Source organism: Homo sapiens, chromosome 17 (genome assembly GCF_000001405.40).
Source record: "Homo sapiens chromosome 17, GRCh38.p14 Primary Assembly".
Classification (NCBI taxonomy): Eukaryota; Metazoa; Chordata; class Mammalia; order Primates; family Hominidae; genus Homo; species Homo sapiens.
In genome coordinates, this window is record NC_000017.11 from 5,208,624 (window position 1) to 5,234,876 (window position 26,253).

Genomic DNA, 26,253 nt, shown 5'->3' on the forward strand with positions numbered 1-26,253 from the left:
GAACTTGGGAGGGGGAGGTTGCAGTGAGCTGAGATTGTGCCACTACACTCCAGCGTGAGTGACAGAATGAGACTCAGTCTCAAAAAAAAAAAAAAGGAGGGGCCCACTGAGCTCATGGACATTGGTGAGATCACTCGTGAGTGTTGGAGGCAGATGGGCAGAGACACAGGGACAGAACCTGAGGAAGACCAGCATTGAAGAGATGCTTCAGAAAGAGTGGGTGGCCCCAAAATGAGACGGAGACAGGAGGAGAACCAGGAGAGGGTGGCGTCCCAGAAACCAAGGAAGAATCAACATTTGTCTGGCATTTGTTTTTAACTTTTGTCATAGTCATGGAGGGTTTACAGAACATTTATAAGACGAAAGCATGTGTTTGAAACACTCCAATCCTTTGGCTTATTTTTGTTCTATAATTTGGGAAGAGTCCTCTCTTTGGCTGGTGGGATACCAGAGTCCCATAAGGCCATAGTTAGATAACTACTGGCCTAACATAAGGAGGGTTTATTTATTTATTTATTTATTTATTTTTAGATGGAGTTTCACTCTTGTTGTCCAGGCTGGAGTGCAATGGCATGTTCTCGGCTCACCGCAACCTCCGCCTCCCAGTTTCAAGCGATTCTTCTGCCTCAGCCTCCCAAGTAGCTGGGATTACAGGCATGCGCGACCATGCCTGACTAATTTTGTATTTTTAGTAGAAATGGGGTTTCTCCATGTTGGTCAGGCTGGTCTCGAACTCCCGACCTCAGGTGATCCGCCCACCTTGGCCTCCCAAGGAGGTATTAATAGCAAGGTGGAAGCCTTCATAGAGTCTGGAAAGAGAGAACCAGGGAGGAAGCCCAGGTCCCCAGTGCTCCAGCGTTGATTGAGGGAGAAAGCTTGAAAATGGGAGGAACACATTTTCCCATCTCTTGAGGGAAATCTGAGTCACTCTCAGGCCTTTCCAGGTTCACAGTGCTCTCTCTGCAAGGCTGTTCATTTGCCAGATTTCCCAGAGGTCACTTAGAAACCAGCATCTTGTGAGTATAGTTAGAATGAGTCAAGTCCTAGGGCTCTGGCGATCAGCTAGAAGGAATTGATGAGGTCTAAGAGCCTATAAAGCTGACTCGGGCCTTGTTGACCCCATTAGGACACTTGTTTAACAAGACATCTGCCCATGTCCCTGGCCCATCTCATTGGCTGCAGCACATCACAGTGGACCTTCTGCCTCCTCCCAGATGCCCAGGGACAGTGATCTGGAAGGAAGGGGCTTGAGGCTGTTTTCCTAGAACTCGAGTAAGTACTGATGAAAATGATGGACAGGGGATATTAAGCCCCCTGAACTCTCATCTTGTATATGCCATTGTTACATGCCCCTTTTCTTTCCTGTTCCCCATGATTTGTCCTGGGGGAAATGTATTTTTCCTGTAGCACCCCCAACACACCTATTGCAAAATGATGCTTCTAGGTGTAAATCAGAAGGTAACTTTTGTCCTTTGTCCATTGTTACAGTACAACTTGCAAGCACGGGGAGAAAACCTAGGTGAAAACTCAAATCTCTATGGTCAATTTGGCCTACATCATATAAAGGCACTGGGGTTTGCAGGGTGTCTAGGTGGGGAGGGTTCACGAGAACAAAAGGTACTCCCTGCCCTTGCAAACTCGCGAGATGTGGTGTGGGAACCTGGGCACGAGAGCACTCAGCTGTAACTCACCCACAGCCTCACAGTGCAGGAGGTGGGTGGGGTGAGAGGGTAAAGACCAGCATGCTTGGTGAGGGCCTTGCTGGGGATGGGAGCCTGGGAGGGTCTGCACAACCAAATGCTGAGATTTAATATCACTCAGAACCATGCAAACCAAAGGGAATGAAGGGGGAAAGAATGCCAAGAAATGAGTAGTTTCCCACAGGTGGGAGCCATGGAGCCCCGTGGTCCTTCCCATGGAAAGTTTCCTCAACAGCACAAGGCTGACCCCTCTAAGTCCTCAGAGCCGAGCACCCATGTGTCTCCTCTGGCTGCAGTCATCCGATCGCAGGGGTGTCTTCATCTAAGGTTTGGGAAGTGCTTTATCTTATAGAGCTTCATAAAATCACCACTGGCTTTCAGGGCCCAGAGACCTACTGAAGTTCAACCATTCTTGATTGTTTTAAAATAAGTTGTGTGAACCCTCTTCAGTTTTGCCAAAAAGAAGAAATGGCTGTTTCAAAATGATGCTTTTTCAGTATTTGCAGGGATTTCAACATCGTCATAGTCATCTTCAGGCTCAATGTAGCTTGGGATGGAAACAGTCTTCTTATTTTTAACTTTATTTACCAGTGAGTATGTAGCGGGCGGCTGACTTGGGGCTTCCTGTGGGGCTAGAATACACAAAAAGCTCCTTAGATGCAAAGCTGTCATGTGTTTTTATATTTTTGAAGGCAGTGGCTCAGCGTGATTTTCACGTTTCAGTGATCTTCCCACTTCTAGTGGGCCAGATCCCCATTTTACAGAGGAAATTTAGACACAGACCTGACAGAGCCTCAGGATCACCCAAGTGAGTAACTGGAAAATATTAGTCAGACATCTTGACTCCCGTATCTTTCTGCCTAAGCCTGCACTGCATGGAAACCATGAAGCAAAAGCTTAGAAAAGAAACAGACCAGGTCAGGTGCAGAAGCTCACACCTGTAGTCCCAGTACTCTGGGAGGCCCAGGTGGGAGGATCACTTGAGCCCAGGAGTTCCAGACCAGCTTGGGCAACACAGGGAGACCCTCGTCCCTACAGAAAAATTTAAAAATTAGCCGGATGTGGTGGTGCATGCCTATAGTCCCAGCTAATTGGGAGGCTGAGGCAAGAGGATTTCCTGAGCCCAGGAGGTTAAGGCTACAACGAGCCATGATCACGCCACTGCACTTCAGCCTGGACAACATGGTAAGACCCTGTCTCCAAAAAAAAAAAAAGAATGGATGAAAAGAAACAGACCAGAGCCCAGTAGTCATATGAGTGCTGTTGTGTTACAGATCCTAATTTTTACAAGGAAGTGAAACAAATCATATTTCCTTTTTGGCACATCCCTTCCAGTGACTTACACTGTTTTCCAGGACTCTCTGTAATTGCTTATGTACAAATCTCTCTAAGAAGAAAGGGGATGGCGTTGTTTTCAAAAGGTGGAATTAGTACAGAACAGGTTCATAGGAGGCTGGGGCGCGGTGGCTTATGCCTGTAATCCCAGCACTTTGGGAGGCTGAAGTGGGCAGATCACCTGAGGTCGGGAGTTCGAGACCAGCCTGATGAAACTCTGTCTCTACAAAAATACAAAAATTAGCTGGGCGTGATGGCGGGTGCCTATAATCCCAGCAACTCGGGAGGTTGAGACAGGAGAATTGCTTGAACCCAGGTGGCAGAGGTTGCAGTGAGCCAAGATTGCACCATTGCACTCTAGCCTGGGCAACAGAGCGAGACTCTGTCTCAAAAAAAAAGAAAGAAAGAAAGAAAAAGAAACAAAAAACAAACAAAAAGAACAGGTCCATAAGTAATAGAAGGATGATGAAACAGCTCAGCTCCATCTTTGATGGGGATTGGAACTGCCTCTCCCACAATCTCATCTTTTCCTAAGAAAACCTGAAATGCCACTATTTGCAGAACTCTGCAGTTTGACAGACCAGAGTTCATGTTCACGTTCCAGCAGTCATTAGCTGTGTGACTATAGGTAAGTCACTTATCTGTGCCTGAGCATCCTCATCTGTCACAGAGGAATAAAAATGTACCTGGCTTGGGCCGGGCGCGGTGGCTCACGCCTGTAATCCCAGCACTTTGGGAGGCTGAGGTGGGTGGATCACGAGGTCAGGAGATCGAGATCATCCTTGCTAACATGGTGAAACCCCATCTCTACTAAAAATACAAAAAATTAGCCAGGCATGGTGGCAGGCACCTGTAGTCCCAGCTACCCAGGAGGCTGAGGCAGGACAATGGCATGAACTCGGGAGGTGGAGCTTGCAGTGAGCCGAGATTGCGCCACTGCACTCCAGCCTGGGCGACAGACCGAGACTCCATCTCAAAAAACAAACAAACAAAAAAATGTACCTGGCTTGTAGAGTTGTGAGGAGTGAATGAGCTAATACCTGTAAAGTGCTTAGTGTGGGACCTGAAACACAGCGCATGCTCAATAAATGTTAGCTAATATTATTTATCTATCCAATCAAAATATTTTTCTTAAGTATCGACTGAGCCTCACGCCCTGTTCTAGGTAGTGGATAAATATTAATAGTGGTGGACAAAAAAGGTTCCTGTGTTCCTGAAGTTTATACTCCAGTGGAGGAGATCAATAATACATAAATGAACAATAAGTAAATAACACAATTTTGGATAACTGTCAGTTTCATAAAGGAAATTAGCAGAACTACTTTAGGTTGAGTGGACAGAGAGGGCCTCTTTGAGGTGGTAACTTCTGAGCTGACATCTGAAGGATGAGGAAAATCCAGCGAGGCAAAGAGCTTAAGGAAGAACATTCCAGTCAAAGGAACCAGGCAGAGTTTTTCTGATAGGAAGTGAAAGGCCTAGTGACACCCCATGTTTCTTTCTGTTTATGTTCCAAGCTGGGATTTGAACATGAATTTACACCCTTATATCAGGCTATTGGGTGCGTCGGTACTTATGCTGCCCCCTTTTTGCTTTTCCATCCCTTTTTTTTTTTTTTTTGAGACAGGGTCTCACTCTGTCGTCCAGGTGCAGTGATGCTATCGTGGCTCACTGCAGACCTCCCAGGCTCAAGCGATCCCCCCACCTCAGCCTTCCAAGTAGCTGGGACTATAAGTGTGCACCATCACGCTGGCTAATTTTTGTAAAGATAGGATTTTGCCATGTTGCCCAGGCTGTTCTCAGACTCCTGAGCTCAAGTCATCAGCCCGCCCTGGCCTTCCAAAGTGTTGGTATTACAAGCATATGCCACTGTGCCTGGCCTCTGGCTATCTCTTTTAAACAGGATGCTGGCTGTGTGTGGTGGCTCATGCCTGTAATCCCAGCACCTTGGGAGGTCGAGGCGGGTGGATCACTTGAGGTCAGGAGTTCAAGACGAGCCTGGTCAATATGGTGAAACCCCGTCTCTACTAAACATACAAAAAATTAGCTGAGTGTGGTGGTGCACGCCTATAATCCCAGTTACTCAGGAGGCTGAGGCAGGAAAATAGCTTGGACCTAGGAAGTGGAGATTGCAGTGAGCTGAAATCATGCCACTGCACTCCAGCCTGGGTGAGAAACCAAGACTCTGCCTCAAAAATAAAATAATCAGGATGCTGCATCTATAAATCCTAGTGTTACAGACTGAATGTTTGTGTCCCCCCAAAATTCAGGTGTTCAAGCCTTAACCCCCAGTGAGGCTATATGTGGCCATAGGGATGAGGCCTTGATCCAACAGGATCAGTGTCCTTGTAAGAAGAAACACCAGAAATCTGACTCCCTGATGCTCTTCCCCAGCTTGAATGCACCAAGGAAAGGCCATTTGTGGGGACATAGCAAGAAGGCAGCTGTCTGCAAGCCAGGAGGAGAACCCTCACCAGAAACCTCACAGAAATCGGCCAACACCCTCATCTCGGGCTTCCAGCTTCAGAACAACGAGAAAACAAATTTCTGTTGTGTAAGCACCCCAGTCTATGGTATTTTTGTTACAGCAGCCTGAGCTATCTAAGACACCTTCATAGGGGACGGGCGTGGTGTCTCACACCTGTAATCCCAGCACTTCGGGAGGCCGAGGTGGACAGATCATGAGGTCAGGAAATTTAGACCATCCTGGCTAACATGGTGAAACCCCGTCTCTACTAAAAATACAAAAAATTAGCCAGGCGTGGTGGTGGGCACCTGTAGTCCCAGCTACTCAGGAGGCTGAGGTGGGAGAATGGTGTGAACCTGGGAGGCGGAGCTTGCAGTGAGTGGAGATCGCGCCACTGCACTCCAGCCTGGGGGACAGAGCGAGACTCCATCTCAAAAACAAAAAAAAGTGGCTCACGCTTATAATCCCAGCACTTTGGGAGGCCGAGGCCGGTGGATCACGAGGTCAGGAGATCGAGACCATCCTGGCTAACGCGGTGAAACTCCTTCTCTACTAAAAATACAAAAAATTAGCTGGGCGTGGTGGCGGGTGCCTGTAGTCCCAGCTACTCCGGAGGCTGAGGTAGGAGAATGGCATGAACCCGGGAGGCGGAGCTTGCAGTGAGCCGAGATCGTGCCATTGCACTCCAGCCTGGGTGACAGAGCAAGACTCCATCTAAAAAAAAAAAAAAAAAAAAAAAAGACACCTTGATAAACTCGTTATCTTACCCTAAATGAAACTGCTACCAGTAAAATATACTTACAAGAGTCTTCTAGAGAAGGCCAATTCCTCGGTGGCAGAGGCGGTAATTGAACTGGCGACTCATTAAGAACATTCCTAGAGAGAGAGAAAGAGAGAGAATCAGTGTTTGGTTTGGGCCATGCCTGCTCCCAGCCGATTTAAGAGAAAACATCAAGGAAAGTGAATGGGTTGAACATTCAAATCTTGGTCTCTACTAATTGGAAGCATTTCCTTTCCTTTGTAGGTCCTGGTTCCCATTTGTAATTGGCACCCTAATGAAACCGTTTTCTGTAGCCCTGGAAATGGCTGAAAATGAGGGGAGGGAAATAAAGTGCTATAATTCAGAGCATGGAGCACACCTTCCTGGTTCACCTGAGCTGGATTCGGAGAGGTAGGCACCAGATGTATTTCTATTTGCAAAACAGATGAGCCGGGCATGGTGGCGCATGCCTGTAATCCCAGCACTTTGGGAGGCCGAGGCAGGCGGATCACCTGAGGTCAGGAGTTCAAGACCAGCCTGGCCAATATGGTGAAACCCTGTCTCTACTTAAAAATACAAAAATCAGCTGGGCATGATGATGCTCACCTGTAATCCCACCTATTCGGGAGGCTGAGGCAGGGGAATCACTTGAACTTCGGAGGCGGAGGTTGCAGTGAGCCGAGATCATGCTACTGCACTCCAGCCTAGGCAACAGAGTGAGACTCTGTCTCAAAACAAACAAATAAAAAAACAAAAAACAAAAGCAGATGAACTCCTAAAGCAGAATGTACACACACCTTGAGTCAGCATTTCCACTACTGGGTCTACAGACTATTGAAATGCTCGCATCTGTTCACCAAAACATGCATTAGAATGTTCAGAGCAACACTATTCATAACAGCTCTGAATTGGACACGACCTGTATTAGTCTGGGTTGTCCAGAGAAGCACAGACACATAAAATTTGCCATCACACAACTCAAATGTCCATCAGCAGTAGAATGGATAGATTAATTATGGTAAAGTGACTGGGCAAGGTGGCTGACATTGGTAATCCCAGCACTTTGGGAGGCGAAAGAGGGAGGATGGCTTGAGCCCAGGGGTTTAAGGGTAATATAGGGAGACCCTGGGCAACACAGGGAGACCCAGTCTCTACAAAAAAATCAACATAATTAGCAGGTTGTGGTGGCATACACCTGTAGTCCCAGCTACTCAGGAGACTGAAGCAAGAGGATCACTTGAGCCCAAAATTTGAGGTGACAGTGAGCTATGATTGCACCACTGTACTCCAACCTGGTTGAGAGTGAGACCTTGTCTCAAAATAAATAAATAAATAAATAAATACTGGTGTACTCCCACGGTGGAATGTTCTATAGCAACAAGAATGAACAATCTACAACTACACACAATGAATCTCATAAAAATGATGTTGAGCAAAAAAGCCAAACACCAAATAATATATACTATATGATGCCATTAATAGATTGCATAAAAACCAAAAAGCTGCTGGGCACGGTGGCTCATGCCTGTAATTCCAGCACTTTGGGAGGCCAAGGCAGGCAGATCATGAGGTCAGGAGATCGAGACTAGCCTGGCCAACATGATGAAACCCAGTCTCTACTAAAAATACAAAAATTAGCCAGGTGTGGTGGCGCATGCCTATAATCCCAGCTACTCAGGAGGCTGAGGCAGAAGAATTGCTTGAATCTGGGAGGCGGAGGTTACAGAGAGCCAAGATCGCGCCACTGCACTCCAGCCTGGGCAACAGAGTGAGACTCCATCTCAAAAACAAAAAAACAAAAAACAAAAAAAACCCAAAAAGCTAATTTATACTATCACAGACAGTGATTGCCTTTGGGATGTAATGGTTGAAAGGCTGTATAAAGTCAGCCTCTGAAGTGCTGGTAACGTCCTATTTCTTGATCTGGGTGCCAGTGACCTGGGTCTGTTGAGTTCGTGGAAATTCATCAGGTTGCACACTCAGTATTTCCATTTTCCTGTATTTATATGATACTTTGGTACAAAGTTTTAACTAAAAGATAAACTCTAAGAAAACTTCCTTACTTGGGCCTCCATCCCCCTAGGTACACTGATTTGACTCCTATATGCTATAAAGTCCCCCTGAGAATGAATAAACATTTTTAGGTTGTTAGGTTGAGTGCAGACGGGGACATGGGGGTAGAGCTCCACCGGCGGCTCTCACCATCCCTCTGTAGCTCTTCCTAAGAGAAGAAAGCAACTCATCTGACTGCTAAATTTGGGAAAAGTCTAGCTCCTCTCACTTTCTCCTCCAGAGCTGGCCTGACTGCAGAATTCACAAATCCTGCTCTGGTCTTTGCCATTCAGAAAAAGGGGTCTACTCGGTGGGGGAGACCTGAGGTTTTCCGGAGCTGCCTGTGAACTGGTTAGGAAAGTCACCCGGTTCCAAATTAGGAAACTCACTAGCTCACAGAAAAGAGCCACATTCTGCAATCCCAGTTTTATTCTTTTTTGTTTGCTTGTGTGTGTGTGTGTGTGTGTGTGTGTGTGTTTGTTTTATTATTATTATACTTTAAGTTTTAGGGTACATGTGCACAACGTGCAGGTTTGTTACATGTGTATACGTGTGCCATGTTGATGTGCTGCACCCATTAACTCGTCATTTAGCATTAGGTATATCTCCTAATGCTATCCCTCCCCCCTCCCCCCACCCCACAACAGTCCCCGGTGTGTGATGTTCCCCTTCCTGTGTCCATGTGTTCTCATTGTTCAATTCCCACCTATGAGTGAGAACATGCGGTGTTTGTTTTTTTGTCCCTGCGATAGTTTGCTGAGAATGATGGTTTCCAGTTTCATCCATGTCCCTACAAAGGACATGAACTCATCATTTTTTATGGCTGCATAGTATTCCATGGTGTATGTGTGCCACATTTTCTTAATCCATTCTATCGTTGTTGGACATTTAGGTTGGTTCCAAGTCTTTGCTATTGTGAATAGTGCTGCTATAAACATACGTGTGCCTGTGTCTTTATAGCAGCATGATTTATAGTCCTTTGGGTATATACCCAGTAATGGGATGGCTGGGTCAAATGGTATTTCTAGTTCTAGATCCCTGAGGAATCGCCACACTGACTTCCACAATGGTTGAACTAGTTTACCGTCCCACCAACATTTTTTTTTTTTGAGACAGGGTCTCACTTTGACACCCAGGCTGGAGTTCAGTGGCACGATCACAGCTCACTGCTGCCCTGACCTCAGGGGTTCAAGCAATCCTCCCACCTCAGCCTCCCAAGTAGCTGGGACTACAGGCAGACACCACCACACCTGGCTAATTTTGGTATTTTTCTCAGATATGGGTCCCCACTATGTTGCCCAGGCTGGTTTCAAACTCCTGGCCTCAAGCCATCCTCCCACTTGGGCCTCCCAAGTGCTGGGATTATAGGCATGAACCACTGCCCCTGGCCAATACCAGTTTTAGTTTTTTGCTTTTTTTTTTTTGAGACTGAGTTTCACTCGTCACCCAGGCTGGAGTGCAGTGGCACGATCTTGGATCACTGCAACCTCCACCTCCTGGGTTCAAGCAATTCTCCTGCCTTAGCCTCCCAAGTAGCTGGGATTACAGGCACACACCACCATGCCCAGCTAATTTCTGTATTTTTAGTAGAGACAGGGTTTCACCATGTTGGCCAGACTGGTCTCGAACTCCTGACCTCAGGTGATCTGCCTGCATCGGCCTCCCAAAGTCTGGGATTACAGGTGTGAGCTGCTGCACCTGGCCCCAGTTTTATTCTTAAAAAAGGCAATATTTAGTCACCTGACTGCCTGACACATTTGTCTTATTCTTGAAAGGGATCAGAATTGATGGAGGCAGGGGGAGTCTTATTTGCTGGATCCCTGAAGCTACAACAAAAGCCATTTTAGAAAAGCAGAGATTTAAAAATGTTTTGTATACAGGGTCTCACTATGTTGTCCAGGCTGGTCTTGAACTCCTGGCCTCAAGTGATACTCCCACTTTGGCAAAGTGCTGAGATTACAGGCATGAGCCACTGCACCTCGCCCCAAGTGTAAGTTTTGTTTTAGATAGTGTGTATACTCCAAAGAAAGGACTGGCTCTTGACTGGCTCCTGGGAAATAATCTCTAAACCCTTGGAATATTCTTCCTAATAAGAGTGTCTCCGGCCGGGCGTGGTGGCTCACGCCTGTAATCCCAGCACTTTGGGAGGCCGAGATGGGCAGATCACGAGGTTAGGAGTTCGAGACCAGCCTGGCCAACATAGCGAAACCCCGTCTCTACTAAAAATACAAAAAATTAGCCAGGTGTGGTGGCGCGCGCCTGTAATCCCAGCTATTCAGGAGACTGAGGCAGGAGAATCACTTGAACCTGGGAGGCAGACGTTGTGGTGAGCCGAGATCGCGCTATTGCACTCCAGCCTGGGTGACAGAGCGAGACTCTGTCTCAACAACAACAAAAAAAGTGTCTTTGAGGCCGGGCATGGTGGCTCACACTTGTAATCCGAGCACTTTGGGAGGCCAAGGTGGGTGGATCACTTGAGGTCAGGAGTTCCAGACCAGCCATGGCCAACATGGTGAAACGCCATCTCTACTAAAAATACAAAAATTAGCTGGGCATAGTGGCAGGTGCCTGTAATCCCAGCTGCTTAGGAAGCTGAGGCAGGAGAAGCACTTGAACCTGGGAGGCAGAGGTTGCAGGGAGCCGAAATCACGCCATTGCTCTCCAGCCTGGGTGACAGACTGGGACTCCATCTCGTAAATAAATAAATAAAGAGTGTCTTTGTATATCTGGGAGCCTTGGGCCACACCAGATAGTTTATGTTAATAATGTGGTTTATGGTGAATGCCTGTTTTTGTTTGCCTGGGGCCCTGGGCCATGTTTGATCAATTTGATAAAGCTAAGTGCAGGTATTCCATGCCTACATGACTAACCCCCAGTAAAAGAAAAACTCTGTACTCCAAGGCTCAGGTGAGGTTCTCCAGTCAGCAGTGCTTCGCGTCTGTTGCCACATATTGTTACTGGGAGAACTGGGGCTCTCTGTGCGACTTCACTGGGAGAGGACAACTGCAAGCTTTGCCTGCTTTCTGCTAGACCCCACACTCCATCACTTTTTCATTTGCTGATTTTAATCTGTATTCTTTCGCCATAATGTACTGTAATTGTTGAGCAAAATCGCTTTTCTGTGTTCTTCTAGTGAATTCTCAAGCCTAAGAGTGGCCTTGGAGATCCCCAACGCAGATATTGGTCATAAAGCCCCAAATAGATCACAAAACACAAAAGTAAAGTGGATGGCATATTTTTCTTCAGCGCAGTAGCTTTTGGAAGACTATATTTGGAATCCACCAAAAGAAAAGAAGTATAGACTGGGCGCTGGGCCCAGAACACAGAGCCCAACCTGTGACCTTTGTCAGAATAGATGAGAGTAGGCTGGGCACGGTGGCATGTGCTTGTAATCCCGGCTACTTGGGAAGTTAAGGTGGGGGAATTGCTTGAGCCCAGGAGTTTGAGACCCACAGGAGTTTTAGAGCTGCCTGGGCAACATAGCAAGACCCCATCTCCAAAAAAAAAAAAAAAAAAAAAAGAGGCTGGGTGCAGTGGCTCACGTCTATAATCCCAGCACTTTGGGAGGCCAAGGCGGGTGGATCACAAGGTCAGGAGTTTGAGATCAGCCTGGCTAACATGGTGAAACCCCGTCTCTACTAAAAATACAAAATACAAAAAGTAGCTGGGTATGCTGGCGTGTGCCTGTAATCTCAGCTACTTGGAAGGCTGAGGCAGGAGAATTGCTTGAACCTGGGAGGCAGAGGTTGCAGTGAGCCGAGATTGCGCCACTGCATTCCAGCCTGGGTGACAGAGTGAGACTCCATCTCAAAAAATAAAAATAAAAAAAAATAGAACTACCAGGCGGGCCTGGTGGCTCACGCCTGTAGTCCCAGCACTTTGAGAAGCCAAGGTGGGTGGATCACCTGAGGTCAGGAGTTTGAGACCAGCCTGGCCAACATGGCGAAACCCCATTTCTACTAAAAATACAAAAATTAGGCAGGCATGATGGTGGGTGCCTGTAATCCCAGCTACTTGGGAGGCTGAGGCAGGAGAATTGCTTGAACCCAGGAGGCGGAGGCTGCAGTGAGCCGAGATCGTGCCAATGCACTCCAGCCTGGGCGACAGAGCAAGACTCCATCTCAAAAAAAAAAAAAAGAGAGAGAGAGATGAGAGGAGGGAGGACTTGCCCTGCATCGACAATGTCCTGAGTCTCTGCCCTTATGTGGAGAGATTTGGCAGGTGTGAAGTCTCGCCAGCTCTACAGGAAATGCGGATGTCTCAGTCATACTGGTACGGTAGTGGAGGGGCAAGGGTGGAAGGGAACAGGCAGTTCTCAACAGTAAAAAGCGGAAGGATTCCCCCCTACTTACTCATACATCTTTTCTTCATCTACTTGCTTGTGTTTCAGGGGCTTGGCAATTTCCCATTTCTTGCCTAAGAGGGGAAAAGCATGTTCATTGAAGAAGAATTAGCAAAAGTTGTGATTTTTTAATTTAACCCAGAGAAAACACACTTAGGGACACAGTTAATAAATGATAGAGCCGGACTTAGAACCCAGACAGTCTAACCACAGAGCCTCTGCACTAACCCAGTGAAGGCAGCCACAGCATGGGTGGTGTTTATTTTCTCTATGCCTGGCACTTAGGTGGCACTTAGAAATGTTGGCTGAATGAATAATCAAAAGTGTGGTTGGGAGGAAATCAGATAAAGAATCGGAAAAGCAGTTTGTATCCTGTAGATGGACATACACGTTGTTATAAATTATAGCCTGCTTGTTAATAGGAGTGGTTGAGGATAAAAAGAAAGTAGGTGAAGTTTTAGTTCTGGGTCATTCCTTTGTCCATATTTGAGAATGGAAACTATTTTCTCCCCCCAGACAGAGCCTCACTCTTGTTGCCCAGGCTGGAGTGCAGTGGCGCAATCTCGGCTCACTGCAACCTCTGCTCCCTGGGTTCAAGCGATTCTCCTGCCTCAGCCTCCTGAGTAGCTGACGTTACAGGTGCCTGCCACCACACCTGGCTAATTTTTGTATTTTTAATAGAGATGGGGGTTTCGCCATGTTGGCCAGGCTGGTCTTGAACTCCCGACCTCAAGTGATCCACCCGCCTCAGCCTCCCAAAGAGCTGTGCTGAGATTACAGGCGTGGGCCACTGCACCTGGCAGGAATGAAAACTTGTTTTTTTTTTTTTTTAAGATGGAGTCTCACACTGTCGCCCAGACTGGAGGGCAGTGATGCGATCTCGGCTCACTGCAAGCTCCACCTCCCAGGTTCACACCATTCTCCTGCCTCAGCCTTCCTAGTAGCTGGGACTACAGGCGCCTGCCACCACGCCCGGCTAATTTTTTTTGTATTTTAAGTAGAAACGGGGTTTCACCGTGTTAGCCAGGATGGTCTTGATCTCCTCACCTCGTGGTCCACCCACCTCAGCCTCCCAAAGTGCTGGGATTACAGGCGTGAGCCACCGCGCCCGGCCAGGTTGTTATTTAAAGGAATGAGAGGTCAAGATAACACGCCATTGAATTAAAGCTTTCGTGTTTCTGGAGATGAACAGGAAAGTGGAAACCCCACTTACAGATAATCTAAAGTTAGTGTTAATCCCTAGGCCACTTATTTATGTCTGAGGGTGCCAAGAGGTTTCTGGTCTAGGTAATACCAGAAAATTCAGAGTATGGTCTCAGAGAAGGCAATCATGGTGGCCAAACATGTTGGCTGTGGATTGAGTCCATATTTTATTCCTCAAGACAGTTCTTTTTTTTTCTTTTTTGATATGGAGTCTCACTCTTGTCATCCAGGCTGGAGTGCAGTGGCACGATCTCGGCTCACTGCAACCTCCGCCTCCTGGATTCAAGTGATTCTCCTGCCTCAGCCTCCTGAGTAGCTGGGATTACAGGCACCCGTCACCACACCCAGCTAATTTTTGTATTTTTAGTAGAGACGGGGTTTCGCCATTTTGGCCAGGCTAGTCTCGAACTCCTGACCTCAGAGGATCCCACCACCTGGGCTTCCCAAAGGGCTGGGATTACAGGCATGAGCCACCACGCCCAGCCGAGACAGTTCTTAATATTCCATATACTTGTGTTCTCGCAAGATGCTGTGCGCAGTAGCCACATAGGGAAGAAAAAGCACTTGAGCATACTGTGCCTTCAAACAGATTCTGCTTTCACCCAGATGATTAGGGCTGGAAGGGCTCTTGGAGATTAGTTGATGTCCCTCCTTTCACTGTGTGGATGAGGAAACTGAGGCCTAGAGACATAATGTAGTGGCAGGGTTAGGACTCAAACCCAGAATGCAAGATGCTTAATCCAAAATTCAGCTCATTCAGGCCCAGGATTGATTTGCTTGCCCTAAAGGAGCTCTACTGCACCGATAACCACCTGGCTCCTCCCTCCACCTGCCTAGGTAAAATGGCCATTACCTCGTCTAAGCTGCCACTTACAGACACAGTACAGGATGAGGCCCAGACCCACAGAGACAACGATGATGGCCACAGCTAAGATGATCCAGAAATTATTCCTCCACCAGCTCATTGCAGTGGAATCCTGAGAAGAATGGAGAGAGAAGAATGAGGTATGAATGAAAGATATCCTGGGGTTGGGTGGAGTGGGGCAGTTATCTACTGTGGGTTGTTTTTTTTTTCTTTTCTGAGTCGGAGTCTCACTCTGTCGCCCAGGCTGGAGTGCAATGACGTGATCTCAGCTCTCAGCTCACTGCAACCTCCACCTCCCGGGTTCAAGTGATTCTCCTGCCTCAGCCTCCAGAGTAACGGGGACTACAGGCACCTGCCACCACGCCTGGCTAATTTTTGTATTTTTAGTAGAGATGGGGTTTCGCCACGTTGGCCAGGCTGGTCTGGAACTCCTGACCTCAGGTGATTCACCTGTCTTGGCCTCCCAAAGTACTGGGATTACAGACATGAGCCACCGTGCCCAGCTAATCTACTGTGTTGTGTAGAGATGCAGACATCTGCTTAGGAATCAGGCACTGGATCACAGCCATACCCTACTCATTAACACCTGGGGGACCTCAGGCATGTCACTCGACCTTCTGTGAGCCTCATCTATAATATGGGAATGATATCTCCTACTTCACTGAGGTTTGTGAGGACTGGAGATCGAACATGTACCTACTGGGCCCTCTAGAAATGGTAGACATCATCACTGCTCTTTCAGACATGCAGCAGGAGGGGGAAGGTGCCATTTAAAGCAATAATTGACTGCAGGGTTGTTTTTTTTCTTGAGACGGAGTCTCGCTCTGTAACTCAGGCTGGAGTGCAGTGGCGCGATCTGGGCTCTCTGCAAACTCTGCTTCCTGGGTTCACATCATTCTCCTGCCTCAGCCTCCCGAGTAGCTGGGACTACAGGCGCCCACGACCACGCCCGGCTGATTTTTTTGTATTTTTTTAGTAGAGACGGGGTTTCACCGTGTTAGCCAGGATAGTCTCGATCTCCTGACCTCGTGATCTGCCTGCCTCGGCCTCCCAAAGTGCTGGGATTACAGGCGTGAGCCACTGCACCAGGCCAGTTTTTTTGTTTGTTTGTTTGTTTGTTTGTTTGTTTGTTTTTTGAGACAGAGGCTTGCTCTGTCGCCCAGGCTGGAGTGCAGTGGCGCGATCTTGGCTCACTGCAACCTCTGCCTCCCAAGCAATTCTCCTGCCTCAGCCTCCTGAGTAGCTGGGATTAAAGGTGTGTGCCACCTCGCCTGGCTAATTTTTATATTTTTAGTAGAGACGGGGTTTCATCATGTTGGCCAAGCTAGTCTCGAACTCCTGACCTTGTGATCTACCTGCCTCGGCCTCCCAAAGTGCTAGGATTATAGGTGCAAGCCACCATGCCCAGCCAGTTGTTTTTAATCACAAGGACAAGTCAGACTTAATGCATAGCAGGGGAGAGAAATTTTGAGAGCTTTTGTTTGAGTTGAGGGTTAGAAAAATAGCTGGATGGGTCTCTTTGAGTGAGTTATGGTCAGAAGGGTGAAGCTGAAGATACAGGGCAAACTGAGTTGATCTGCATGAGAGAGTTAACAGGCATTTGGGGGCTGGAAGCTGACAGACCAGAGACCGGGAAAGTCTCGGAAAAGGTTAGCAGCAGAGTGAGAGGTCAAGAAGAGAGCACAAGTCAGATCCTGGTTAGGAAGCTCCCATAGTGGCAAATGACCAAGGCGTTTCTAGGACAGTAATGCCTCATGTCCAGCCTTAAATTGCTACCTAGGTTATGCTGTGGTGTCGCCTTTTGTTACCATCAAACCTCCAATAAAACTGCATAACACGGCCAGGTGCGGTGGCTCACGCCTGTAATCCCAGCACTTTGGGAGGCTGAGGAGGGCAGATCACTTCAGGTCAGGAGTTCAAGACCAGCCTGGCCAACATGGCGAAACCCTGTCTCTACTAAAAATACAAAAATTAGCTGGGTGTGGTGGCACATGCCTGTAGTCCCAGCTACTCAGGAGGCTGAGGCGGGAGAATTGCTTAAAGCCAGGAAGCAGAGGTGGCAGTAAGCCGAGATCACGCCACTACATTCCAGCCTGGACAACAGAGCAAGACTCCATCTCAAAACAAAAGCAAAGGCTGGGTGCAGTGGCTCACGCCTGTAATCTCATAACTTTGGGTGGCTGAGGCAGGCGGATCACATGAGGTCAGGAGTTCGAAACCAGCTTGGCCATCATGGTGAAACCCCTTCTCTACTAAAAATACAAAAAATTAGCTGGGCATGGTGGTGCACGCCTGTAATCCCAGCTACTTGAGAGACTGAGGCAAGAGAATTGCTTGAACCTGGGAGTCAGAGGTTGCGGTGAGCCGAGGTTGTGCCATTGCACTCCAGCCTGGGCAACAAGAGCGAGATTCCATCTGAAAAAAAAAAAAAAACACCGATCTCAAAGAGGGAGTTGTGAGAACCCCAACTTGAAGCTGGTTGCTCTCAAGTTCCAGAGGCCCGGACTTGCGACTGACGTCTGGGGAGTTGGGGGCAGCAGTCTTGGGAACTGAGCTGTGAGATCTGATACTATCTCTGGGTCTATAGTGCTGGCATTGAATTGGAGAACACCCAGCTGGTGTTCACTGCTTGGTGTGTGGCGGAAAAACCCTCACACATTTGGTCACAGAAGCCCTTTTCTGTGTTGGTGATTGTTGTGCTGGTGTGAGAACAGAGGAAAAACACCGCTTGCAGAGTTTTTCCTGAAACAATACTCTTTAGAGCGATAGAAATAAATACCACGACCTGCGCATTCAAAGCTGTTGTATCTGGATTGTGACTGCGTGGAAGGTCGAGGCGGGAAGACAGGGGCTGTTGCTTTTCGTTATAAACTCTGCATTACTTGATTTTTGCACTACGTACATTTACTTTGATAACACTGGAAAGAATAAATTGGCCATGTAGTGTAGCTTCCAAAAAAAACTATTGCTTGGGTTTCAAGGTCAAGGAAATTTCATTCTCATCAGTTTCTTGGGAAAGAGGAAGTGGAATGATGTTGTCAGAAAGTGAAACCATGGGTCATTTTCAGAACTACTCAGAGTAATAAATATTTTTTGTCAGTTTTGTTCTTACAAGTGAAATGGACCGCAGAGAGGCACTTTTTCTTTTCTTTTTTCTTTCTTTCTTTTTTTTTTTTTTGAGATGAAGTCTCGCTCTTGTACCCCAGGCTGGAGTGCGATGGCGTGATCTCGGCTCACTGCACCCTCCACCTCTCCAGTTCAAGCGATTCTTCTGCCTCAGCCTCTCCAGTAGCTGCGATTACAGGTGTGTGCCACCATGCCCGGCTAATTTTTTTTGTATTTTTAGTAGAGATGGGGTTTCACCATGTTGGCCAGGCTGGTCTCGAACTCCTGACCTCAGGTGATCCGCCTGCCTCAGCCTCCCAAAGTGCTGGGATTACAGGCATGAGCCACCACGCCCGGCCGACACATTTTTAATAGAACCAAGGAGAGCTTGCTTTTTGAGAGAGGGCAGCTGAGAGAGGGGGCCTAAGAGAATCACATCCTAGTTCCAGTAGGATGTCCTCTAGGCCACCAGGCTGGTTTAATGGCCAAGGTGCTTCCAGAGAGAGGAAGCCCTGGGGAAGGATGATAGAGAGTACAGAAAACAGGGAGTACACAATGGCTGCATGACCGAGTTCAGGCCCTGGGAAGGTATGAAAGCTGGATCCTACCTGTGCTGGCAGACCTGGAGTTGTTGCCACAGAGGGCCGATAAGATTGTGAGTACAGGACTACTGAGGGCTACTGAAGGATCGCAAAGAAGTGTTTGCACTGGCCGAGTGCAGTAGCTCATGCTTGTAATCCTAGCACTTCAGGAGGCCAAGGCAGGCGGATCACTTGAGTCCAGGAGTTCATGATCAGCTTGGGCAACATAGCAAGACCCTGTCTCTATATACACACACACACAACACACACACACACACACACACACACACACACTCTTACACTTAGCCAGGTGTGGCGGCATGTGCCTATAGTCACAGCTACTCAGGAGGTTAAGCTCCTCCTCAGCTACTCAGGGGGTTTCACCATGTTGGCCAGGGTGGTCTTGAACTCCTAATCTCAAGTGATCCGCATGCCTCGGCCTCCCAAAGTTCTGGGATTACAGGCGTGAGCCACCCTGCCCACCCAGAATGAACTTTCAAAAGGGAACAAGGATTAGAGAAGGGAGTGACACTGAATAGAACCAGAGAGAAGGGGCTTGGGGGCAGGAAGTTGAGAGCTCACACCTAAGTTTCCATTTCCTCTGAGGTGGGAGGCAAAGTCAACAGTGTGGGGGTTGAGGTGGGAGGGGTCCGGCTTGAGCAGAGCAGTGCAATAGCACGCACCAACTCCTCCACCTTCCAGCCCAGTCCCCATCCCCCATTCCCATGGCGCTTTCTTCACAATTTTAGTTGGTGGAGCCTCTCTCGTGAGGCCATCCTTTCTCCTTGCCTACCGCATCCCAAGAAGAACTCAGCTACGTGAAGGGATGTCACTACCCCCTGCAATATGTATATGTGAAATATGTTGGGCGCGGTGGCTCATGCCTGTAATCCCAGCACTTTGGGAGGCCGAGGCAGGCAGATCATGAGGTCAGGAGTTCAAGACCAGCCTGGCCAACATGGTGAAACCCCGTCTCTACTAAAATACAAAAATTAGCCAGGCATGGTGGTGTGCACCTGTAATCTCAGCTACTTGGGAGGCTGAGGCAGGAGAATTGCTTGACACTGGGAGGCGGAGGTTGTGGTGAGCCGAGATCACGCCACTGCACTCCAGCCTGGGCAACAGAGCTAGACTCCTTCTCCAAACAAAATTTTAAAAATGAAAAATAAGTTGGGCATGGTGGCACGCGCCTGTGGCCCCAGCTACATGGGAGGTTGAAGTGGGAGGATTGTTGGAGCCCAGGAAGTTGAGGCTGTAGTGAGCTGCAGTCACGCCACTGCACTGCAGCCTGGGTGACAGAGCCAAATCTTGTCTCAAAAAAAAAAAAAATGCATTGAGCACAGTGGCTCACACCTGTAATCTCAACAGTTTTGGAGGCTGAGGCAGGAGGATCACTGAAGGCCAGGAGTTAGCAACCAGCCTGGGCAACACAGCAAGACCTTGTCTCTACAAAAAAAATTAAAAATTTGCCAGGCAAGGTGGTGCATGCCTATAGTCCCAGCTACTCAAGAAGCTTAGGTGAGAGGATTGCTTGAGCCCAGGGATTCGAGGCTACATTGGGCCATGAATGTGCCACTGCACTCCAGCCTGAGTGACAGAGTAAGACCCTGTCTCAAAAAAAAAAGAAAAAACAGTGAAATGCATTTTTCTTCCAACTGAGCCTGTGACAGTGACAGTTGTCTCTTGGTGTATTTGTTCTTTTTATTTGTTTGTTCCTTGTCTGTCTCCCACACTGATGGGCAAGCAGCATAAGAGCAGAGGCTTTGCCTGTAATTACCACTGTGTTTCTAGCGCCTAGAACATCACCTGGGGCAGGACATACCATACATATCTGTGAATATACGAAAGAATGGATGATGCCCCAGTCTCTTTCCCCTGCTATAGATGGACCTCCCACCCGAGAATGCAGGCAGAAGTCACTTTGGGTCCAGTAACTGAAATTACTGTGCTGTGCAGTCTAATTCCAAAGCCTCATCTGGACACGCGACCCTGGGCAGGCTCCCCGTCCTGCGCTGGCCATTGGCTACTGGGGCCAAGAGGCTGGCTGGGAAGCAGTGGCAATCCAATGCTGGGGAGGTGGAGTTCCAGCTTCCCCTTTGTTTCTCCCCATTCCTCTAGTTGTCCATGACATTTTCAAGGAACATGAGTGAGCCTGTTGCAGTTCTGGGTGGTTTCAGTGGAAAGGATTTGGCAAGACCTTCCACAGTGAAGAGGGCGTGTGAGTGGGAGAGCAACTGAAGGCAGTCAACACATCAGCTTCACTTTCATTTCTCCAAAGGGCATTTCCAGGGTGTCAGGGACAGAAATCACATTTTCCTTCACCAGGAATTTCTGAGACTGTGGGTTTATTTAGCTTTTTTTTTTTTTTTTTTTTTTTTTTTGAGACAGAGTCTTGCTCTGTTGCCCAGGCTGGAGTGCAGTGGCGCGACCTTGGCTCACTGCAACCTCCATCTCCCCGGTTCAAGCAATTCTCCTGTCTTAGCCTCCCAAGTAGCTGGGACTACAGTCGCACGCCACCATGCCCGGCTAATTTTTATATTTTTAGTAGAGATGGCGTTTCACACCATATTGGTCAGGCTGGTCTTGAACTCCTGACTTCAGGTGATCCACCCGCCTTGGCCTCCCAAAGTGCTGGGATTACAGGCATGAGCCACTGCGTCCGGCGTATTTAGCATTTTTAAAAGAAGATCTTCAGTAAGAAATATGGTTTACGTTGTGATAGTTATTCACGTATTCACATAAATGAAGCGCTGAAGGGCCCTAGGCTGGCCATCAAGGGAACAAGTTCCCCTCCCCTCCCCTTCCCCCATCTCCTTTCTCCCCTCTTCTCCTTTCTCCTCTCTGCTCCTCTCCTCTCCACTCCTCTCCTCTCCGGTCCTCTCCTCTCTCCTTTCTCCTCTCCTCTTCTCTCCTTTCTTCTCTCCTCTCCTTTTTCTCCTCTCCTTTCCCTTCTTTTCCTTTTTGTAGAGACAAAAAAATGTTGTAGACACACAAAAAATGTTGCCTAGGCTGGTTTCAAACTCTGGGCCCCAAGTGATCCTCCGCCCCAGCCTCCCAAAGTACCAGGATTACAGGCATGAGCCACTGCACCTGGCCAGAGGGAATAGGTTTCCTGTTCCCACTTAGCTGTTGCACTTGGAATAAGATGCTTAACGTCTCCTTGCAGGCTTCTGAAAAGCTTCCAAGAGATGTTGCATGCAAAAGAGCTCTGTGTGCAGAAGATCACCAAGCATGAGGCATTATTAAGGGCAAACCAACCAAGTTCTATTTACAATAGCAAGTGTCTTCTAAGAAGGGCAGCTACCGACCAGGAGAGTCCCCTATTCTCCCTGCAGAGGATCTGCAGATCTGCAAAGCTGGCTGGGTTAGGAATGAAGTTTGCTGGTAGGAACTGGGGAATGTTGAATTCCTCTGGGTTATAGAAGGGGAGAATTTGGAGTTCTGGGAGGGAAGGTGATGAGAAGAAGGGATGGAAAGATGAAAAGGGAAGCCAGCAGGATGGTGCAAAGGTGGGAGTGAACCCGAGGGCTAGATTAGGCCTGCAGAACTTAACCTACCTTACTTGATTTTAGTCACTTGCTTCTAGTTGATCTTAAAACCTATATAGCTACTGGGGGCAGTGGCTCACACTTGTAATCCCAGCACTTTGGGAGGCCGAGGCTGGAGGATCACTTGAGCCCAGGAGTTCAAGACCAGCCTAGGCAACACAGCGAGACTTTCTCTCTACTGAAAATAAAAACAAAACAAAACAAAACAAAACAAAACCAGATGTGGCGGCATGTGCCTGTAGTCCCAGATACTCAGGAGGCTGAGGTGGGAGGATGGCTTGACTCTAGGAGATTGAGGCTGCAGTGAGCTGTGATTACCATCAGTGCACTCTAGCCTGGGTTATAGAGTGAGACCCTGTCTTTAAAAAAGAAAAAAGCCTATAGAGCTAAAAGTCATGTAGCTAAGCAATATTTAACTGGACTTCCACTAGCTTCCTGCTGGATAACATCTCTGACATATAGGTCATCATAGTAATGGTTGTTTAAGTTGTTTTTCAAGGGCTGGGCACGGTGGCTCACGCCTGTAATCCCAGCACTTTGGGAGGCCAAGGTAGGCAGATCACCTGAAGTCAGGAGTTCGAGACCAGCCTGGCCAAGATGGTGAAACCCCGTCTCTACTAAAAATACAGAAATTAGCCTGGTGTGGTGGCAGGCGCCTGTAATCCCAGCCACTCGGAAGGCTGAGGGAGAATCATTTGAACCCAGGAGGTAGAGGTTGCAGTGAGCCTCCAGGATCACGCCATTGCACTCCAGCCTGAGTGACGAGAGTGAAACTCCATCTCAAAAAAAAAAAAAGAAAAGAAAAAAAGTTGTTTTTCAGGAACTTGGGGTCAGCTCTTATCCAGTTCAAGCCACTTATGACCATCAATCCTTCAACTTGGTCTGTGTGAGTGTCCAGTAGGTGACGTTTGATGTCAGAGCGCCAAAAACTCCATCTTCCATCATGCTAATGCCACCATTTTGTGAACCTGCATCCTATGAAGAACGATGAAGCTTGACTAGGCTTGCACAGATTGCCGATGTCCTACTTTTCCCTCCAATCACCTTCCCCACACCTTAGGCCACCTGCTTCTTTGTCCCATAAACGTCTCTAAACCCCATCTTCGAGGAAGTGGGTTTGAGACCTGTTTTCCCATCTCCTCACTTGGCTGCCTCATGAATAAATGCATTCTGTGCTGCAAAACTGGTCATCTTGGCGGGACGCGGTGGCTCACGCCTGTAATCCCAGCACTTTGGGAGGCTGAGGCGGGCGGATCACGAGGTCAGGAGATCAAGACCATCCTGGCTAACACAATGAAACCCTGTCTCTACTTAAAAAATACAAAAAATTAGCCAGGCATGGTGGCAGGCGCCTGTAGTCCCAGCTACTCGGGAGGCTGAGGCAGGAGAATGGCGTGAACCCGGGAGGCGGAGCTTGCAGTGAGCCGAGATTGCGCCACTGCACTCCAGCCTGGGCGACAGAGCGAGACTCCGTCTCAAAAACAAAAAAAAAAAACTGGTCACCTCAGTGATTGGCTTACTGTGCGATGAGCAGAATGGGCCTCATTTGGTATCAAGAGGAGGAGCTGATAGAAAATGCTCAGGGATGGGCTGGCAAAGACATTTTCAGAGCAGCGCCGTGTTATGTTCTGTGTGCAGTTGTTTGCGCTGATGCGTTACAAGCCCCTCTGGTGGTCCCCCGCTGAGTCTTTGGTAAAGTCTGCTGCATCTGCCAATTCTTTTGTGAGCAGATTTGTTCTAGGGGTGTGGGGGACTAAGAAAGGGGTGGAATATAAACAGTGCAGTGTAAACAGTGCAGTATAAACAGTGCAGTATAAACAGTATAAACAGTGCAAACAGTGCAGTGTAAACAGCGCAGTGTAAACAGTTTTACCCACAGAGGCTGCAGGCCCATTGCTGACCATGGAAAAAGAGGTGGGCTCCTCGGGAGTCCACAGAAGTCCTGGGGAGGGCTTTGGACTTCGGCAGGCCTGGAATGAGGGTTCGAACTAATCTCAGTCTAGATCTCGAGGGTCTGAGAGGCTGTAGAGAACATTTAGGCCGGTTGGCATGAGCAGTTCTTGCCCCAGTTCACCTCTAATTCCCCGACTGTTGCTGTTCATGCTAAGTGAGGCCTTGTTCCCACTCGTTCTTCTTCTTTTTTTTTTTTTGAGATGGCGTCTTGCTCTGTCACCCAGGCTAGACTCCACTGGTGCAATCTCAGCTCACTGCAACCTCTACTTCCTGGTTCAAGCTATTCTCCTGTGTCAGCCTCCTGAGTAGCTGGGATTACCGACACGCACCACCATACCCGGCTAATTTTTGTGTATTTTTAGTAGAGATGGGGTTTTGCCATGTTGGCCTGGCTGGTCTCAAACTCCTGACCTCAAGTGATCCACCTGCCTCGGCCTCCCAAAGTGCTGGGATTACAGGCGTGAGCCACTGAGCCTCGCTCCACTTGTCCTTCTCACTGATGTCAGCACCAGAAATGGCCATGTGGATAGTCACTGGCAACTTAAAACCCAAGTGTGCATGGGGAAGTGCACGGCAGGGTCATTAAAAGGAGTCCAGCCTCTCTTCTTCCCTTCTCTATACTTTCACTTCTGGAAAAGACCGGAAACCTTGCCTCATTCCTCTTTCTCCCATGGCCCCATCCCCACCCCGCTTCAGCCCATCAGCCTCCAAATGTAGTCCAAGTCCTCATCTCTGTACCTGGACCATTGCATTTTCGCTGGCCCCTAGCCCCCACTGGGCTCCCCACTGGCTGCCAAATACCAGTGTGACCCTGTCCCTTCCTTGCTTTAAGCCTCTCAGTAGTTTGTTTGTTTGTTTTTGAGATGGAGTCTTGCTCTGTCACCAGGCTGGAGTGCAGTGACATAATCTTGGCTCACTGCAACCTCCACCTCCCGGGCTCAAACGATTCTCCTGCCTCAGCTTCCCGAGTAGCTGGGGCTATAGGCGCCCACCACCATGCCCAGCTAATTTTTGTATTTGTAGTAGAGACAGGGTTTCACCATGTTGGCCAGGCTGGTCTTGATCTCTTGACCTTGTGATCTGCCCACCTTGGCCTCCCAAAGTGCTGGGATTAGAGGCGTGAGCCACCATGCCCCGCCTGCCTCTCAGTAGTTATTTACCACTGAAGCAGAGTGAAGCCTGTGCTCCACATTGCTTCATGGCCAAGACCTCAGGGACAAGTGGACACACCAGGCAGTGGGAGTGGATATGGCAAAGCCAAACCCAGATCTCTTCTCAAAATAATTTTCCAGAGGGCAAAAGCAGATGGCTACACCGAGAACTCACGCCAGCCCAACACACTTTGATCTCGAGGCCTCTGGAAGGGAAGGTGCCTAATGAACTACTGAAAGCCAGAGATGCAATGACAAAGGTACCAAGACTGGAGGTGATCCAGGTCTTTCATCCAAGAGCCCCAAGACGTAGCCTAAATTCATGCTACGGTAATCCCAGCACTTTGGGAGGCCGAGGCGGGCGGATCACCTGAGGTCAGGAGTTCGAGAGCAGCCTGGCCAACATGGTGAAACTCCGTCTCTACTAAAAATACAGAAATTAGCCAGGTGTGGTGGCGGGTGCCTGTAATCCCAGCTACTCAGGAGGCTGAGGCAGGAGAATCGCTTGAACCCGGGAGGCGGTGGTTGCAGTGAGCCGAGATCACGTCACTGCACTCCAGCCTGGGCGACAAGAGCGAAACTCCATCTCAAAATAAAATAAAAATAAATAAATTGACACAGTCAGTGCCTCGCTCCCACCCCCACCTCCAGCATAGCACCATGACAGTCTTCTCACATAACAAGTCCCAAAACACACCATCGGCATCCAGAAAGTGAGAGTAACTCGTTACAGTTGAGACCTCTCACTCCCGGTCATTATCTCATTTCAATCCAAGAGGTAGACTTCTTCATCGCCCCTGACATACACATGAGGAAAAGGCCCAGAGAGGTGAAGTGATGCCTCAGGTCACTCAGCCAGTTACCAGTAGAGCAGATCCTTCAATGCAAGTTTTTCTCCAACCCTACACAGCAGTCGTACCAGGGCCCCAGGCTGCAATCCCCTGGCCCAGTGCTGATCGGTGGCTCCCAGGGACACGCCCTGATGCCAGCGCTGGCAGATGTCTGCTGTGAAGAGAGCAGGAAACTGTCCCTTGGAAAGCTGAGATGCTTACCTGAACTGTGAAAGTATCCATATGTGAGCAGCTAAGGAGACAGCAGTGGCTGGAGTGCTGCAGCTCAGGCACAGCTGGTGAGAGGCATTCCTCACTCACAGGCCTTCACCCACTGCTAGAGACAGTGAGCCCCATCCTGACC

The 26,253-nt window shown here is 48.5% G+C and overlaps 1 protein-coding gene and 1 long non-coding RNA gene across 6 annotated transcripts in view, besides 1 other annotated feature; one reads left to right on the forward strand and one right to left on the reverse strand.

The window, feature by feature from the left end:
- ZNF594-DT (ZNF594 divergent transcript) overlaps positions 1-26,253 on the forward strand; it is a 43,997-nt gene that overhangs the window by 16,617 nt on the left and 1,127 nt on the right. The window contains exons 2-7 of one of the 2 annotated variants that reach the window (NR_034082.2): positions 1,127-1,272; positions 5,427-5,586; positions 6,524-6,670; positions 14,694-14,861; positions 25,201-25,319; positions 25,970-26,188. This is a non-coding gene — a long non-coding RNA (ZNF594 divergent transcript). The remainder of the gene's footprint in view (positions 1-1,126; positions 1,273-5,426; positions 5,587-6,523; positions 6,671-14,693; positions 14,862-25,200; positions 25,320-25,969; positions 26,189-26,253) is intronic. The other variant, NR_152840.1, reaches the window with a different exon arrangement.
- On the reverse strand, positions 297-26,237 carry SCIMP (SLP adaptor and CSK interacting membrane protein). 4 transcript variants are annotated; one of them, NM_001271842.1, is made up of 5 exons: positions 26,112-26,237; positions 14,731-14,833; positions 12,664-12,727; positions 6,302-6,375; positions 297-2,332 (listed from the first exon to the last, which is right to left on the reverse strand). In NM_001271842.1, the coding sequence occupies exons 1-5, from the start codon at positions 26,130-26,132 to the stop codon at positions 2,178-2,180; spliced, it is 417 nt and encodes a 138-aa protein (NP_001258771.1). In that variant the 5' UTR covers positions 26,133-26,237; the 3' UTR covers positions 297-2,177. The 4 variants fall into 4 exon arrangements, with proteins under 4 accessions (NP_001258771.1, NP_996986.1, NP_001306119.1 ...); NM_207103.3 differs by having other exon boundaries at positions 14,710-14,833; NM_001319190.2 differs by lacking the exon at positions 297-2,332 and adding an exon at positions 4,386-6,213.
- Positions 17,478-17,678: a silencer, noted in NCBI's record as "peak2705 fragment used in MPRA reporter construct". NCBI's record gives its function as "represses an SCP1 promoter by STARR-seq MPRAs in K562 erythroleukemia cells {active_cell/tissue: K562}" and the evidence as "EXISTENCE:reporter gene assay evidence [ECO:0000049][PMID:32103011]".

Coding starts and splice junctions, on each gene's coding strand:
- SCIMP (NM_207103.3), bottom strand. CDS start 26,132: ATGGATACTTTCACAGTTCAG. Junction 6,376..12,663: donor GATGAAGAAAAGATGTATGA/GTAAGTAGGGGG, acceptor CTCTCTCTCTAG/GAATGTTCTTAATGAGTCGC. Junction 2,333..6,301: donor GCCTTCTCTAGAAGACTCTT/GTAAGTATATTT, acceptor TGTGTATTCTAG/CCCCACAGGAAGCCCCAAGT.